Source organism: Homo sapiens, chromosome 17 (assembly GCF_000001405.40).
Source record: "Homo sapiens chromosome 17, GRCh38.p14 Primary Assembly".
NCBI lineage: Eukaryota > Metazoa > Chordata > Mammalia > Primates > Hominidae > Homo > Homo sapiens.
Window position 1 is genome coordinate 73,674,793 of NC_000017.11, and position 14,106 is coordinate 73,688,898.

Sequence of the window (14,106 nt, forward strand, 5' to 3'; positions counted from 1 at the left end):
TGCATTTCTCTGATGATTAGTAATGTTGAGCATTTTTTCATATACCTGTTGGCCATTTGTATGTCTTTTTTTGAGAAATATTAGATTTTTTGCCCATTTTTAAATCAAATTCTTTGGTGTTTTTATCTTTTCTTTTCTTTTCTTTTCACTATTGAGTTATCTGAGCTCCTTACATATTATGGTTATTAATCTCTTGTCAGATGGATAGTTTGAAAGTTTTTTTTCTACCCTGTGTGCTGTCTCTTCACTTTGTTGATTGTTTCTTTTGCTGTGCAGAAGCTTTTTAGCTTGATGTAATCCCTAGAAAATATTTTAAATTGAATGTAAATGAACACACAATATATCACACGTTGTGAAATGAAGCTATTTGAGGGTTCTAAGGGAAATTTACAGCTTTAAATGCTCATAATAGAAAGGAAGAATGGTTTAAAATCTACCTGAGGAAGAAAGGAAAAAATGCAAATTAAACCCAAACTACAAGGTTGGAAATAATAAAAACACAAGCAGAAATCCGTGAAACAGACAATGGAAAAGCGATAGATAAAATCAATAAGGATGACCAAGAAGCAAAATGTTTGTTCTTTAAAAAGGCTAATAAAATTGATGAAGCCCAGAAAGACTGATTAAAAAAAGAAAGAAAAAACAAATTGTAAATATCAGGCACTAAAGAGACATCATCACTACAGATCCCATGGACAATAAAGGGATGATAAGGTAATATTATGAAAATTGTATGCCAATACATCTGACAACCTAGGTGAAATGGATGAATACCTTGAAAACCACAATTTGTCACAATAAAACAGAAAACCCGAAGAGTCTTACATCAATTATAGAAATTGAATTTAAAAATAAACCCTTCCCCCACATAAAGAATAAGAGTTTCAGATAGTTTTACTAGCAAATTCTCTCAAACTTTTAGGGAAGAAAAAAATACCCATCTTACAAGGATGGATCATGAGGGAATTCTCCCCATCTCAGTTCATGAGGTCAGCATATCCCTGATACCAAAACCTGCAAAGCAATTTCAAACGAGGAGAAAATTATAAACCAACCTCCTTCATGAACGCAGACAGAAGAACTCCCTTTAAAAAGCCCAGCAAATTTAATTCAGCAATATTTTATTTATTTATTTATTTATTTATTTATTTATTTATTTATCTATTTATTTTTGAGATGGAGTCTCACTCGGTTGCCCAGGCTGGAGTGCAGTGGCGCCATCTTGGCTCACTACAACCTCCGCCTCCCGGGTTCAAGTGATTCTCCCACCTCAGCCTCCCGAGTAGCTGGAATTACAGGTGACTGCCACTATACCTGGCTAGTTTTTGCATTTTTAGTAGAGACGGGGTTTCACCATGTTGCCCAGGCTGGTCTTGAATTCCTGACCTCAGGTGATCTGCCCGCCTCAGCCTCCCAAAGTGCTGGGATTACAGGTGTGAGCCACAATGGCCAGCCAAATTCAACCGTATTTTTAAATGATAATGTTTTAATACCAAGTGGGTTTACTCCATGAACACAAGGTTGATTTAGCATTTAATAATCAACTAATATAATTGATCACATAACAGAATGATGAAGGAAAAAACACTTGGTCATCTTAATAGATGCAGGAAAAGCATTTGACAAAACACAACCTCCATTCTCGATTTTAAAAAAAATGCGGCATTTTAAAGATCAAAACAACACACTTTTTCAATTTAATAAAGGGCATCTATGAAAAACCTGAAGGTAAATCATACTTAATGGTGACATATTATTATGCTTTTATTATTATTATGATATTGGAAAGAAGGTAAGAATTCTGGTTGGGCGCGGTGGCTCACGCCTGTAATCCCAACACTTTGGGAGGCCAAGGCGGGTAGGTCTTGAGGTCAAGAGATTGAGACCATTCTGGCTAATATGGTGAAACCCCATATCAACTAAAAATACAAAAATTAGCTGGGCGTGGTGGCGGGTGCTTGTAATCTCAGCTACTTGGGAGACTGAGGCAGGAGAATAGCTTGAACCCGGGAGGTGGAGGTTGCAGTGAGCTGAGATGACACCACTGCACTCCAGCCTGGTGACAGAGTGAGACTTAGTCTCAATAAATAAATAAATAAATAAAACCGAATTCCTACTTTTACCTCTGTATTCAGCCTTGCACTCGAAGCCTGGCCAGTGCAACAAGGCAAGAAAAAGAAATGAATACTATAAAAGTTGGAAAGAAAGAATAAAGCTGTTTTTATTCACAGATAATGTGATTGTAAATGTAGAAAATTCTAATAAGTTTATATAATAATTCCTATGATTAATATGTAAATTTAGCAAGATTTTAGGTTACAAGAGCAAATATACAAAATTCAACTGATTTCTATATATTAATATGAGCAATTGGAGAATAAAATTGACAAGCAATACCATTTAAAATAGCATAGAAAAAATGAAATATCTAGGAATAAGTTTTTCTGAAGACATACAAGACTTCTATACTGAAAACTCAAACCACTGCTGAGAGAAATTAAGGAAGACATAATTAGATGGAGAGAGAATGCCCCGCTTATGGATTAGAAGAGTCAACATTTTTAAGATGGTCATTCTTCCCAAATCAATCTATACATTCAATACAATTCCAATCAAAATCACAACAGAATTCTTAATAGAAATTGGCAAGCTGTTTCTAAGATTTATATGAAAACAGTAAAGGCCCAGAAGAGCCAAACTGTCTTGAAAAAACAACAACAAAGTTTAACCCAAAAATATGAAAACATAAACCCTCAAAAGACTGGTACAAGAATGTTCAAAGCAGCCTCATTCTTAGTAGCCTCAAACTGAAAACGACGCAGATGTCCATCAACAGGAGAGTAGTTGATCAAATTGCAGTACATTCATACAATGAAATACAACTCAGTGATTTAAAAAACGAATTATGGATGCACAACAATGGCGAAGAATCTCACGGACCTTATTTGAACAAATAAGTCCAGACATAAAACACAGTATGATTCCATTTTTACCACCTTCAAGAACAGGCAAAGAAAATGTATGGTAGTAGAAGCGAAGAAAACAGTTGCCTTTGGGTGAGAGTGACATGGATTGATTGGCAAAAGGCATGAGAAAAATTTTTGAGGTGATAAGTGTTCTATATGTTGATTTGGGTGGTTGTTGCATGGGCTGTATCAATTGCCAATATCCATCAATTTTTTTTTCTTTTTCTAGACAGAGTCTGACTGTTTCCCAGGCTGGAGTGCTGTGGCACACTCATAGCTCTGCAACCTTGAAGTCCTGGGCTCAAGCGATCCTCCCACCTCAGCCTCCTGAGTAGCTGGGGCTACTTTTAAATTCCTTGTAGAGAAGAGGTCTCACTATATTTCCCAGGCTGGTCTCAAACTCACAGGCTCAAGGGATCCTCTAGCCTCAGGTTCCCAAAGTGCTGGGATTACAGGCGTGAGCCACTGAGCCCTGCCCAAATTGTTCATTTTAATTTTACGTAGCTTAAACCTCAGTATCAGAGGAAGAAGGGAGGAAGAAGAGAGAAGGAAGCGAGACGAGGGAGGAAAGAAACGTAAGAGAAATCCCAACCAAAAGCAATATATGAACCTTGTTTATCACCTGATTCAAAGCAATCAACTGTAAAAACACATTTTGAGCCAATCAAGAAAAATTGATCATCAACTGGGTAATAGAAGGTATTAAACAATTGCTGTTATTTTTAGTGGGTATGAAAAAGGTATTACTGTCATTTGTTAGAAATATATATGGAAGTATATGAAGGCAAAATAATAAGACGTCTGAGATTTGTTTTAAAATACTTCAGCCAAAAAAGTGGACTGGAATAGTGAAGCAAGTTGGCAAAATGTTGATAATTGTTGAAGCTGAATGAAGGGGATATATTACTACATTATCTCTGTTGTGTCTGTTTACAATTTTCCACTATACAGTTTAAAAAATAAAATTTAAGTTAAAAATTAGTCATCGATTAGGTCATGTCACTCCTCTGTTCAAAATCCTCCAGCACGTCTCATCTCAGAGTAAAACCCAAAATCTTTGACATGTACACAGAAATCTGTCAGTGGGTCGTGAAATCAATCTAGTGCATCATGATCAGCATTTTCATTATATGAAATGGAACAGAAGAGTGAGAAAGAAAGATACTAGAGAATATTACATGTATAGTAAAGATAGGAATTTCTATAGGAAATTGTTTGAGTGCCTGTTTGTGTATGTGCATGTGTGCGTTTCTTTCACTGAATTGTGGTGAAAAGTTTGAGAAACAGCTCTACCTCATCTGCCCCCGGCCCCTGCCCCTCCTGTCTGTCTGCTTTACTCCCCACCCTCTCTTCCCTCCTGCCCTGCAAACCCCCTTGCCGTGCATCCATCGTGCCAGTTCCTGCCCGGGCATCCGCATGGCTCCCTTCCTCATCTTCATCACTCAGCAAGTGAGCAACCTGCTCACTTGTTGCCTTACCAACGAGGCTTCCCCAGTCATTGCATTCAGCACCACTCTCTAGCCTCCTTCATCAGTTTGATTATTCAACTCCATGCACTTACTACACTTGGGTTTACTTGTTCAATGACTCTGCCTACCCCATTCCCATTCCTATCCCAGAATAGCAGCCTCATGAGAGCAAGGGGTTCACTTGTCTTCTTCGCTGTGGTACCTCCAGCACCAAGAATATTGTTTGGTGCATTCTAGGCATTCAATAAATATTTGTTCAGTGAAAAAAATTATTGAGGTCTTCTTTGTGCCCAGGACTGTGCTCAGAGCTGGAGAACGAGCAGTGAACAGGGCAGATGTGGTTCAAACCTTCGGGGAGCAGAGTTTGCAGGAGCAGCAATGTTAGCTGTGGGCCAACATGTTTCAGCTGTGTGAGGCAAGACCATGAGCCAATGTGTTTCAGCTGTGCGAGGCAAGACTGTGGAACAATGTGCTTCAACTGTGCAAGGGAAGGCCATGGGATGACGTGTTTCAACTGTACAAGGCATGGTTGTGTGATGTGTTTCAACTGTGCAAGGCACAGCTGGCAGAAGCACAAGACCTCTCCCAGGCTCTCTGTTGTGAGAGCCTACAACAGAGGGACTTAACTGTGTGCATGTGTGTCATGTCTGTTGTGAGGTGTGTGTGTGTGGTGTATGTGTGTGTATTTGGTATGTGTATATATGTGTTATGTGTATATATGTGGTATGTGTTTATGTGGTATGTGTCTGTGTGGCATGTGTGTATATGGGGTATGTGCGTAAGTGTGTGTCTGTGATGTGTGTGTAAGTGGTATGTGTCTGTGATGTGTGTATGTGAGATGTGTGTGTTGTATGTCTATGTTACATGTGTGTCTTGTGTGTGGTGTGTGTGTGTGTGTCTGTGTTTATGGCAGGTGGGAGGAAGGATGCCTTCAGGGAGAACTTTCCTGAGAAAAACATGAAAACAGACCTATAGATCAATAAAAAGACAAGCAATACAATTAAAAATAAGCAAAAGATCCAAACCAATACTTCACACAAGGGCATATTTGAATGGCCATGAGCAGATGAAAAAGTGTTCGATATCATTAGTCAGTAGTGAAATTAAAATTGAAAGCACAAGGCAATACCACTGCATGCTCATCAGAATGGATAGATTAAAAAGACCGAAAATGCCAAGTGTTGGCAACAATTTGGGAGGAACAGGAACCCATATGCTGCCTGTAGAATGTAAAACAATACAACCACTTTGGGAAACTGTTGGTTTCTAATAGAGTTGGATGTATACCTACTCTTTGATTTATCAATTCCTAGGTATTTACACAAAATAAATGAAAATATGTGTTCATATAAAAGCTTTGTATGCAAATGTTCATAGCAATTGGATTATCAACTTCCAAAAATGGAAACAACTTCAAATGTCTATCAACAGGAGAATGAATGAACAAATTAAGTCTTGTACATTAATGTAATGAAATACTAGCTGGGTGCGGTGGCTTATGCCTGTAATCCTAGCAATTTGCAAGGCCCAGGCAAGTGGATCACCTGAAGTCAGGAGTTCAAGACCAGCCTGGTCAACATGGCAAAACCCTGTCTTTACTAAAAATACAAATAATAATAATAATAATTAACTGGGCGTGGTGGCGTGTTCCTGCAATCCCAGCTACTTGAGAGGCTGAGGCAGGAGAATCACTTCAACCCAGGAGGCAGAGGTTGCAGTGAGCTCAGACTGTGCCATTGCACTCCAGCCTGGGCAACAAGAGTGAAACTCCATCTCAAAAACAAAACAAAACAAAACAAAAAAAGAAATACTACTCAGCAACAAAAAGAAACAAATTGCAGATACACACCATGACATGAATTAATCTCAAAAGCACTATGTGGAGTGAAAGAAGCTGCCAATCACAAAAGAGCAAATACGAATTGATTCCACTTATATGAAGTTCAAGAACAGGCAGCACTAATCTCATAGTGGTAGCTAAACAAAGCAGTGATCGCCTGGTGGTAGGACATTGATGGGAAAGGAACACAAGGGAACTTTCTGCTGTGGTAGAAATATTCTGCATATCTTGATTTGGGTGAAGGTTGATGAAAGCATTCTATATTTCTTCATTTGGGTGATGGTAATGTGGGTATAAATATTTGTCAAAATTCACCAAATGATACACTTAAGATCTATGCATTTTATTTTATGTAAAATATACCTCACCTCTCTCTCATGGGAAAGAAACCTAAGGTACTGAAGGCTGAGTAGAAATTAGCCTTGGGTGAAGGGGAGAAGAGCATTCTAGGCAGAAGGAACCATGTTTGGGATGCTCATGAGGTGGGTAAGGTCTTAGTGTACTCCAAGAACAGAGAGGAACCAGAGGCGTTTGGAGAATGAGGAGAAAGGAGGGCAGTAGATGGGCTAGTGTGTAGGATGGATGGGACTTGGTCTTGCTAAACCTTATGGGCCAGGTAAGAAAAAGAAAACATGATCAGATGCAAGGAAGAATGGATGGGAGAGAGCAAGAGGTGAGAAGGGTGAGACCTCTTAGGAAGTTACTACACTCATCCAGGCAAGACCTGGTTGGGGATTGGGCTAGGCAGGGGCAGGTGGAAACAGAGTATCTTATTCTTATTCACTTTTGGCAGTACAGTCATATTTTGGTGAAATGTGTTTTGCAACCAGGTAGAGAAACGAGAGCACGTTTGTAAGCTGGAGATCCTTACTCACTGTTGTGAGAAGAAGGGATGTAGCTGGTGGTGAGGCTGGGCAGAAGGGCAGGCCAATCCTGCCAATCACTCAGTGGAACCTTTTTGTGTTAATTGCCTCTTGCTCCAAAACAAACTACCCCAAAATTGAGTGACTTAAAAGAACAACCACTTTAGTAGCTCATGATTTTGTCATCTGGATTGGGCTCAGCTGGGTGACTATTCTGCTGATCTTGCTGGTCTGGTGGTCTTCAGTGTACTGAGCTCAGCTGGGACTGCTGGCTTGGCTGGGCCTTTCTCTCTTTCCATGTTCTCCATGTTCTTTTCCATGTGGTCTCTTTAGCAGGATAGCTAGATCTTTTACATGGCGACTCAGGGCTCCCAAGAGCACAAAGCAGAAGCTGTAGACTTTCTTAAGGCTTAGTGGGGCGCTGCCACATTGTATTGGTACTGTGTTGATTGTATTGTATTGTATTGTATTGTATTGTATTGTATTGTATTGTATTGTATTGTATTGTACTGGTTAAAGCACATCACAAGGCTAGCTTAGATTCAAGGGGAGGGGGCCACACCAAGGTCATTAATGTACAGACTATTACAGCCACTTAAGGAGCCATGTGACCTTCGACAAGTTATTCAACCTCTCCAAGCCTCAATTTTCTTATCTTGGAAATGGGAATAATCCTATCACTTACTTCATAGTGTCCTCGTTCAGATTAGATAAAGTAACGTGCAAAGAGTGTGGCAGGGTGCCTGGCCTAGAGTAATGATGGTCATCATCAGTGCATTGCTGCTGCTGCTGTCACTGCAGAAATGTGTGTTTACGGAGCCCCTACACCGTGCAGGCCCTGCCCTGGCCTTACTCTTCTGAAGGAAAGTCTACCCCTACTTAGTGCTGGGAGCAGGCGGCTGCCTGAGAAGAACTCTTACGTGTCTGGTGTCTCTTGCTCTCTGCCAGCATCCATTGCCCAGTGAGAAAGGCCCATTAATCCCTGCAATGCCAGGCGAGGAGCCAGCCAGGCTCTGCCCTCCTCCTTTCCCTCCCATCTTCTTGTTTTCTTTTTGTTAATTAAATATGGGTCAGCTATTGACACGAATGTTGACTGCTGCCATGCCAACCCAGAGAGCATCCTGGAGGGACAGTGGCCTTTGCCCTGCTTCCAGCCTCCACCTCAGGTCTCTGTCCCCTGTGCCTGTGCCTCTCTCTCTCTGTTTCTCTGTCCATCCGTCTCTGTCTGTCTTTTTCATCAGTCCCCACAGGGTGCTCTTCTATGTTTCCAGCCAATTGGCCCCTGAAAAGAGCAGGACACAAGGCCACCTCATCGTCCAGGCAGGTCTTAAAGTCCTATCGCCTCCCAACATTTTCCTAATGTTAAAAGGTCCCTTAGATTTCCTATCCACCATCCCTATATGTTTAGTACCTATCAGTCAGTTGATTAAATGCATAACAATGGAAAGTTACTATGAATTCACTAATGCTTTTAAATGAAAGCATTTTTTTCGTCCTAGCCAGAATAAGGGATACTGTGGCATATATCTGAGAGACATATCATTGATTCTGATTTCAGGCACTATTTGGCAGCCTTTGTGGATTCGGAGCCTGCTGCCCTGCCCCCTACTCTTTGCTGTAATTCTGGGATGCCCACGATGCTCTGTTTACAGATCAGCACCTTGTATTTACCCCTGCTGCTTAAAGCGGGGTCCACAGACCCCATTGTCAGCATCTCCTGGGAGCTTGTTAGAAATGCAGAATCTTGGGACCCACTTCAGACCTACTGATCAGAATCTATATTTTAACAAGTTCTCCAGGTGATTCTTGTGCACATTAAAATTTCAGAAGGCTGCGTTAGTAGAGACGGCTAGGGGTCACCTACCGTCCGTCAATCAACCAGTAGTTGCTGAGTGCAGAGGCTTTGGAACCGGCAACCTGGGTGTGAATCCCAGCTCTTCCATGTGGCACATATGGGGGAGATTCCTCCATGTGTTGGGCCCTGGGGTGGGTGCCAGAAATATGATACAGGGAAAACCAGGCATGGATCCTGTTCTCTGGGCATCTACCGCCTAGTGGGGGAGACATGTGCTAATGAATGTGAAACTGTAAGGCTCTGAAAGAAGTAAACACAGATCCATTCATTCACTCCATTCATTTAACAGGTGTTCATTGAGTACCTACTCCATGCCGGATACTGCTGGGCATAGGAGATATGAGAGCATATACAATAGAACTTGACCTACCCTGGGAAGTCAGGGAGGGCTTCCCTGAGGAAGTGACACTTGAGCAGAGAGTGAAGGATGCACTGGAGTTCACTGAGAGAGGATGGAGTGGGGGTGGCACAAGGTTTTATCACTGAAAGTGTCAAATTGCTGAAAAGACTAGTGTTTTGAACCTGAGAAATCCCCATGGGATACAGCACCAAGAAGTCACTGTTGACGTCCGTGGGAGCTTTTTCTTGGGAGTGATTGGACTGAAGCCAGGTTGGATGGTTGGAGGCATGTGAGTGGGAGGTGAGGAAAAAGAAAGGGTAGGCAAAGTCGTTCCTTTGAAGCAGTTTGCCTGGGAGGGAGGCAGGGAGAAGGCAGATAGTTGGTATGGGTACAGGGGTGGGTTTTCTTTGATTTATTCTTTGTAGCTAGGGAAACTGCTTTTGATGAGCTATGTAACCTTGTGTTTTGCTTATCATCTCTGAGGCCAGTTTCTTCTGTCTCTGTATAATGCAAATAATAGACACAAAATAAAAACCAAACCCGCTGTAAATTAATGATGTTGGAATTCCTCTTAGAAAGTGAAGTGCTCCCGTTTGGAGGAATGCTCTGATTAGAACTGCTTGAGGGTTAAAGAGGAGGCCTCAGAGGCTCTGGGTGTGGGCAGAGCTGACTTGCTGAGCCCCAGGAAGGAAGGTGGCAGCAACTGGAAAGAGAAGGAAGCAGAGAGGGGTGGGCAGTGGCAAATCATCAGGAGACCAAAACCTCTGGGACTGATGAGGAAGGCGGCCAACCCCAGCCTTCCCCCAATATTCCAGCAACCTTCTCTGCTCACAAACTCCTTGGTGCAAGTGGACATTTTTTGTGGAGGCCCTTGAGAACCTGTGGATTTCCATGTCTGATCTGATGAGAATCAATTAGACTGAGGCAGCCCAAGAGGGGCAGGACCCAGACACAGGGAGAGGTGTGCAGAAGGAAGCCCCAGCAGTTCTCAGCAATCACAGATAGGGCTCTTTGAATGACAGGGATAGAGAAACCAAGGGTCTGGTTTATCCAGTTCTTCAAGGGGCATGGAGACCACTGCTAACATTGGATTAGATCCTATGCAGAGGCACTGCACTGCAAAGCTATTTTATGGGAAATGACATAAAATAACTTTGTTACCTTCATTCATGTCACTAGATTAACAGTCACATATTAGGCACCTGCTAGGTGCCTTATGCACTGTTGTGGGCATCAGAGTTGCAACATTTTATGAAATAGACTTGAATCCTTGCCCTCCTGGAGCTTACATTGTAGAAGAGGGAGTCATACAATAAGCAAATGAAAACACATAGTATATTACATGATGATAGGAGCTAGGGAGAAAAATAGAAGAGATTTGTTTATAGTTTCATGAAGGAAGAGGGACAGAGAGTACCAGAGCTGGATGTATATGTTGGGGAGAGGGAGGTTCATTTAAATAGTGTGGTCAGGGAAGGCCTTAGTGTAGGGTGACCTTGATCAACTCTGAAGAAGGTGAGACGTGAGCCCTGGGGACATTTGAAGGACATTGAAGACCATTTCAGATAGATGAAATTTAGCAAAGGGGTTTCCATCCAGCTGGGAAGATGAGACTTACTCAAGCATCACCAACCTGGTCTTCACTATCCATATTTCTATCACAGTTATCATAGAAATATGGACAATGAAGGCCAGGCTGATGAATGACAGGCTTGTTTCAGATGGAAATGAGGAATTCATTGGGAACTGGAGCAAAGGTCATGCATGTTACACCTTAGTGAAAAACATAGCTGTATTGTGTCCATGCCCTAAACATCTGTGGAAGTTTGAACTTCAGAGTGATGGCCTAGGGTATCTGATAGAATAAATGTCTAAGCAGCAAAGTGTTCAAGAAGTGGTTTGGCTGCTTCTTAACAACCTATGCTCAGATGCAGGAGCAAAGAAATGACTTAAAGTTGTATTTTATATTTAAAAGGGAAGCACAGCATAAAAGTTTGGAAAATTTGCTGCCTAGTCATATGGCAAAGAAAGAAAAAGTTTTTTTGGGAGAGGAATTCAAGAAGGCTGTGGAGCAACTACCTGCTAGAGATATTTGCATAACTAAAAGGGAGCCAAGTGCTAATATCCAAGACAATGGGGAAAAGGCCTTGAGGGTGTTTCAGAGACCTTTGGGGTAGCCTCACCCATCACAGGCCCAGAACCTTAGGAGGAAAGAGTGGTTTTGTGAGTCAGGGCTAGGGCCCCACTGCCCCACAGGCCCCCAGGATACTGATCCCTGCATCCTGGCTGCTCTGGCCCCAGTTGTGGCTCTAAAGGGCCCAGACACAGCTCAAGCCACTGCTCTGGAGAATGAAAACCATAAGCCTTGGCAGTTTCCATGTGGTGTTAAGCCTGCAGGTTCACAGAGTAAAAGAGTTGAGGCTTAGCAGCCTCTGCTTAGATTTCAGAGGATGTATGGAAAACCTAAGTGTCTAGGCAGAAGCCTGCTATAGGGGTGGAGCTCTCACAGAGAACTTCTACTAGAGCAGTGCCAAGGGGAAATGTGAGGTTGAAGCCCCCACACAGAGTCTCCAATGGGGCACTGCCTAGTGAAACTGTGAGAAGTGGTCCACATCCTCCAGACATGAGAATAGTAGATCCACCAGCAGCTTATACCCTGTGCCTGGAAAAGTCACAGGCACTCAACCCCAGCCCATGAGACCAGCCAGGGGTAGCTGTACCTTGAAAAGCCACAGGGGTGGAGCTGCTCAAGGCCTTAAGAGCCCACCCCTTGCACCAGTGTGCCTTGGATATGGGACATGGAGTCAAAGAAGATTATTTTGGAGCTTTAAGATTTAATGACTGCTCTGCTGAGTTTTGAACTTGCATGGGGCCTGTAGCCCCTTTCTTTTGGCCAATTTCTCACTTTTGGAATGGGAATATTTACCCAATGACTATATCCCCATTGTATCTTGGAAGTAAAGAACTTGCCTTTGATTTTAGAGGCTCACAGGCGGAAGGGACTTTCCTCATCTCAGATGAGACTTTGGACTTAAACATGAGATTTGGGAGGGGCCAGGGGCAGAATGATATAGTTTGGATCTGTGGCCCCTCTTACCAAATCTCACGTTGAATTGTAATTCCCAGTGTGGGAAGTGGAGCCTGATGGGAGGTGTTTGGATCATAGGGGTGGATCCCTCATGGTTTGGTGCTGTCTTCATGATTGTGAGTTGTCGTGAGATCTGCTCATTTAAAAGTGTGTGGCGTCTCCCTCTTAATTATCTCTCCTTTTCACCATGTGATGTGCCTACTCCCCCTTTGCCTTCCACCATGAGCGTAAGCTTCCTTAGCCCTCCCTAGAAGCCAAGCAAATGCCAGCACCATGTTTCCTATAAAGCCTGCAGAACTGTGAGCCTGTTATACCTTTCTTTCATATAAATTGCCCATTCTCAGGTATTTCTTTATAGCAACGTGATAATGGCCTAATACATGACTTGAATGACAGCTCATCCTCTTGACAGCACAAACAGCCCCTCCTCTGAGAAGCCTTCCCTGACTTCCCTCTCTCCATCAAGACCTGCAGGCCCCTTCCTCCGGGCACCTCTATACCTTGTATCCACCACTATCAGCGCTTGTCTTGCTGTGCTCTATTCTTTATTTTTACATGTGTCTACTCTAGGAGGCTGTGTGCTTGGGGCTTGGCTAGTCCATATATTTGTTATTCCAGTACCCAGCACAGGGCTGACACCTAGAAGGAGAGCATGGCTAGAGGTGGGCAGGGAGTGGAAGGCAGGCTGAAGAGAGGATTTGAGGCCTGATTGGAGGAGACAAGGAAAGTAAATCTGGGTGTGCTGGATAAGATGGTTTTCAGAAGGAGAACTGGGCAGGAAATCAACTAGCAATGATGCTAACAGACACAGCAATGGGGATAGTGGGAGGAAGTTTGCCCTAATCATGAGAAGGGAGAATGAGGAAGAAAGGAGAGGCAGGAGAGACTTCAAGGAGAACTTGCTGCTTAACCACAGAGTGTGGAGGAGAGGGTATCACTGATGATGACCCAAGCTTGGATGCTTGGAGAAAAGAGAATGAGGATCGCACCACGTTACGTGCACTACATGGTTTATCTCACTGATCCCCTCTACTTGAGATTGTTTTCATTTTACTCCCTGGAGAGTGACTCTTAAACGATGTTCCTGACATCGGAATTTGAATAATAACATTAATATAACAGGGCAGTCCAATGGCTATTAATTCACATTAGTCTCAATTCTGGGTGCCTTTAGTGGAATCTAGAAATTTGTATACAAACAGTCAGTGATGATAAGACACCTGCTGAACAGACACATCTAAGGCTGGATTCATAGGGGCTATGAAATAATAATAATGATAATGATGAGCCTACATTGCCAGAGTACATTAAAATCAGAGTAATTAGTTAATTTGAAATAACAATACCCATTAAGATCATTAAGAACACCTTAACTCGATTTAGTATCCCAGCTGTAAGCTTCTCAAAGGTTTTCTCAGGAATCATCTAATTCAGATTCGGAATAAGATGAAACTCCCTATTCCTTTCCTTCATTTGATGAGCATTTATTGAGCACCTACTAGATGCCACATTCTCAGCTGGGACTGGGATATAAAGAGAAACAGGACAGGGCCCTGTCCTCGGGGACCTTGTTCTTTAGGGAAACAGATGGCCCTGGGAATGGTCAGTGATCACTCAGGGTGGCTGGGGAGTCCCGAGGAACACAGAGGAGGGGAGGTCAGTGTGTCCTAGGGTGAGGGAGCCTG

General features: G+C 42.6%; 1 annotated feature.

Annotated features, from left to right (window-relative positions):
- Window positions 11,207-11,785: an enhancer, noted in NCBI's record as "OCT4-NANOG-H3K27ac hESC enhancer chr17:71682138-71682716 (GRCh37/hg19 assembly coordinates)". NCBI's record gives its function as "activates a minimal SCP1, AML or CMV promoter by ChIP-STARR-seq in primed H9 embryonic stem cells {active_cell/tissue: H9 hESC(primed)}" and the evidence as "EXISTENCE:reporter gene assay evidence [ECO:0000049][PMID:30033119]".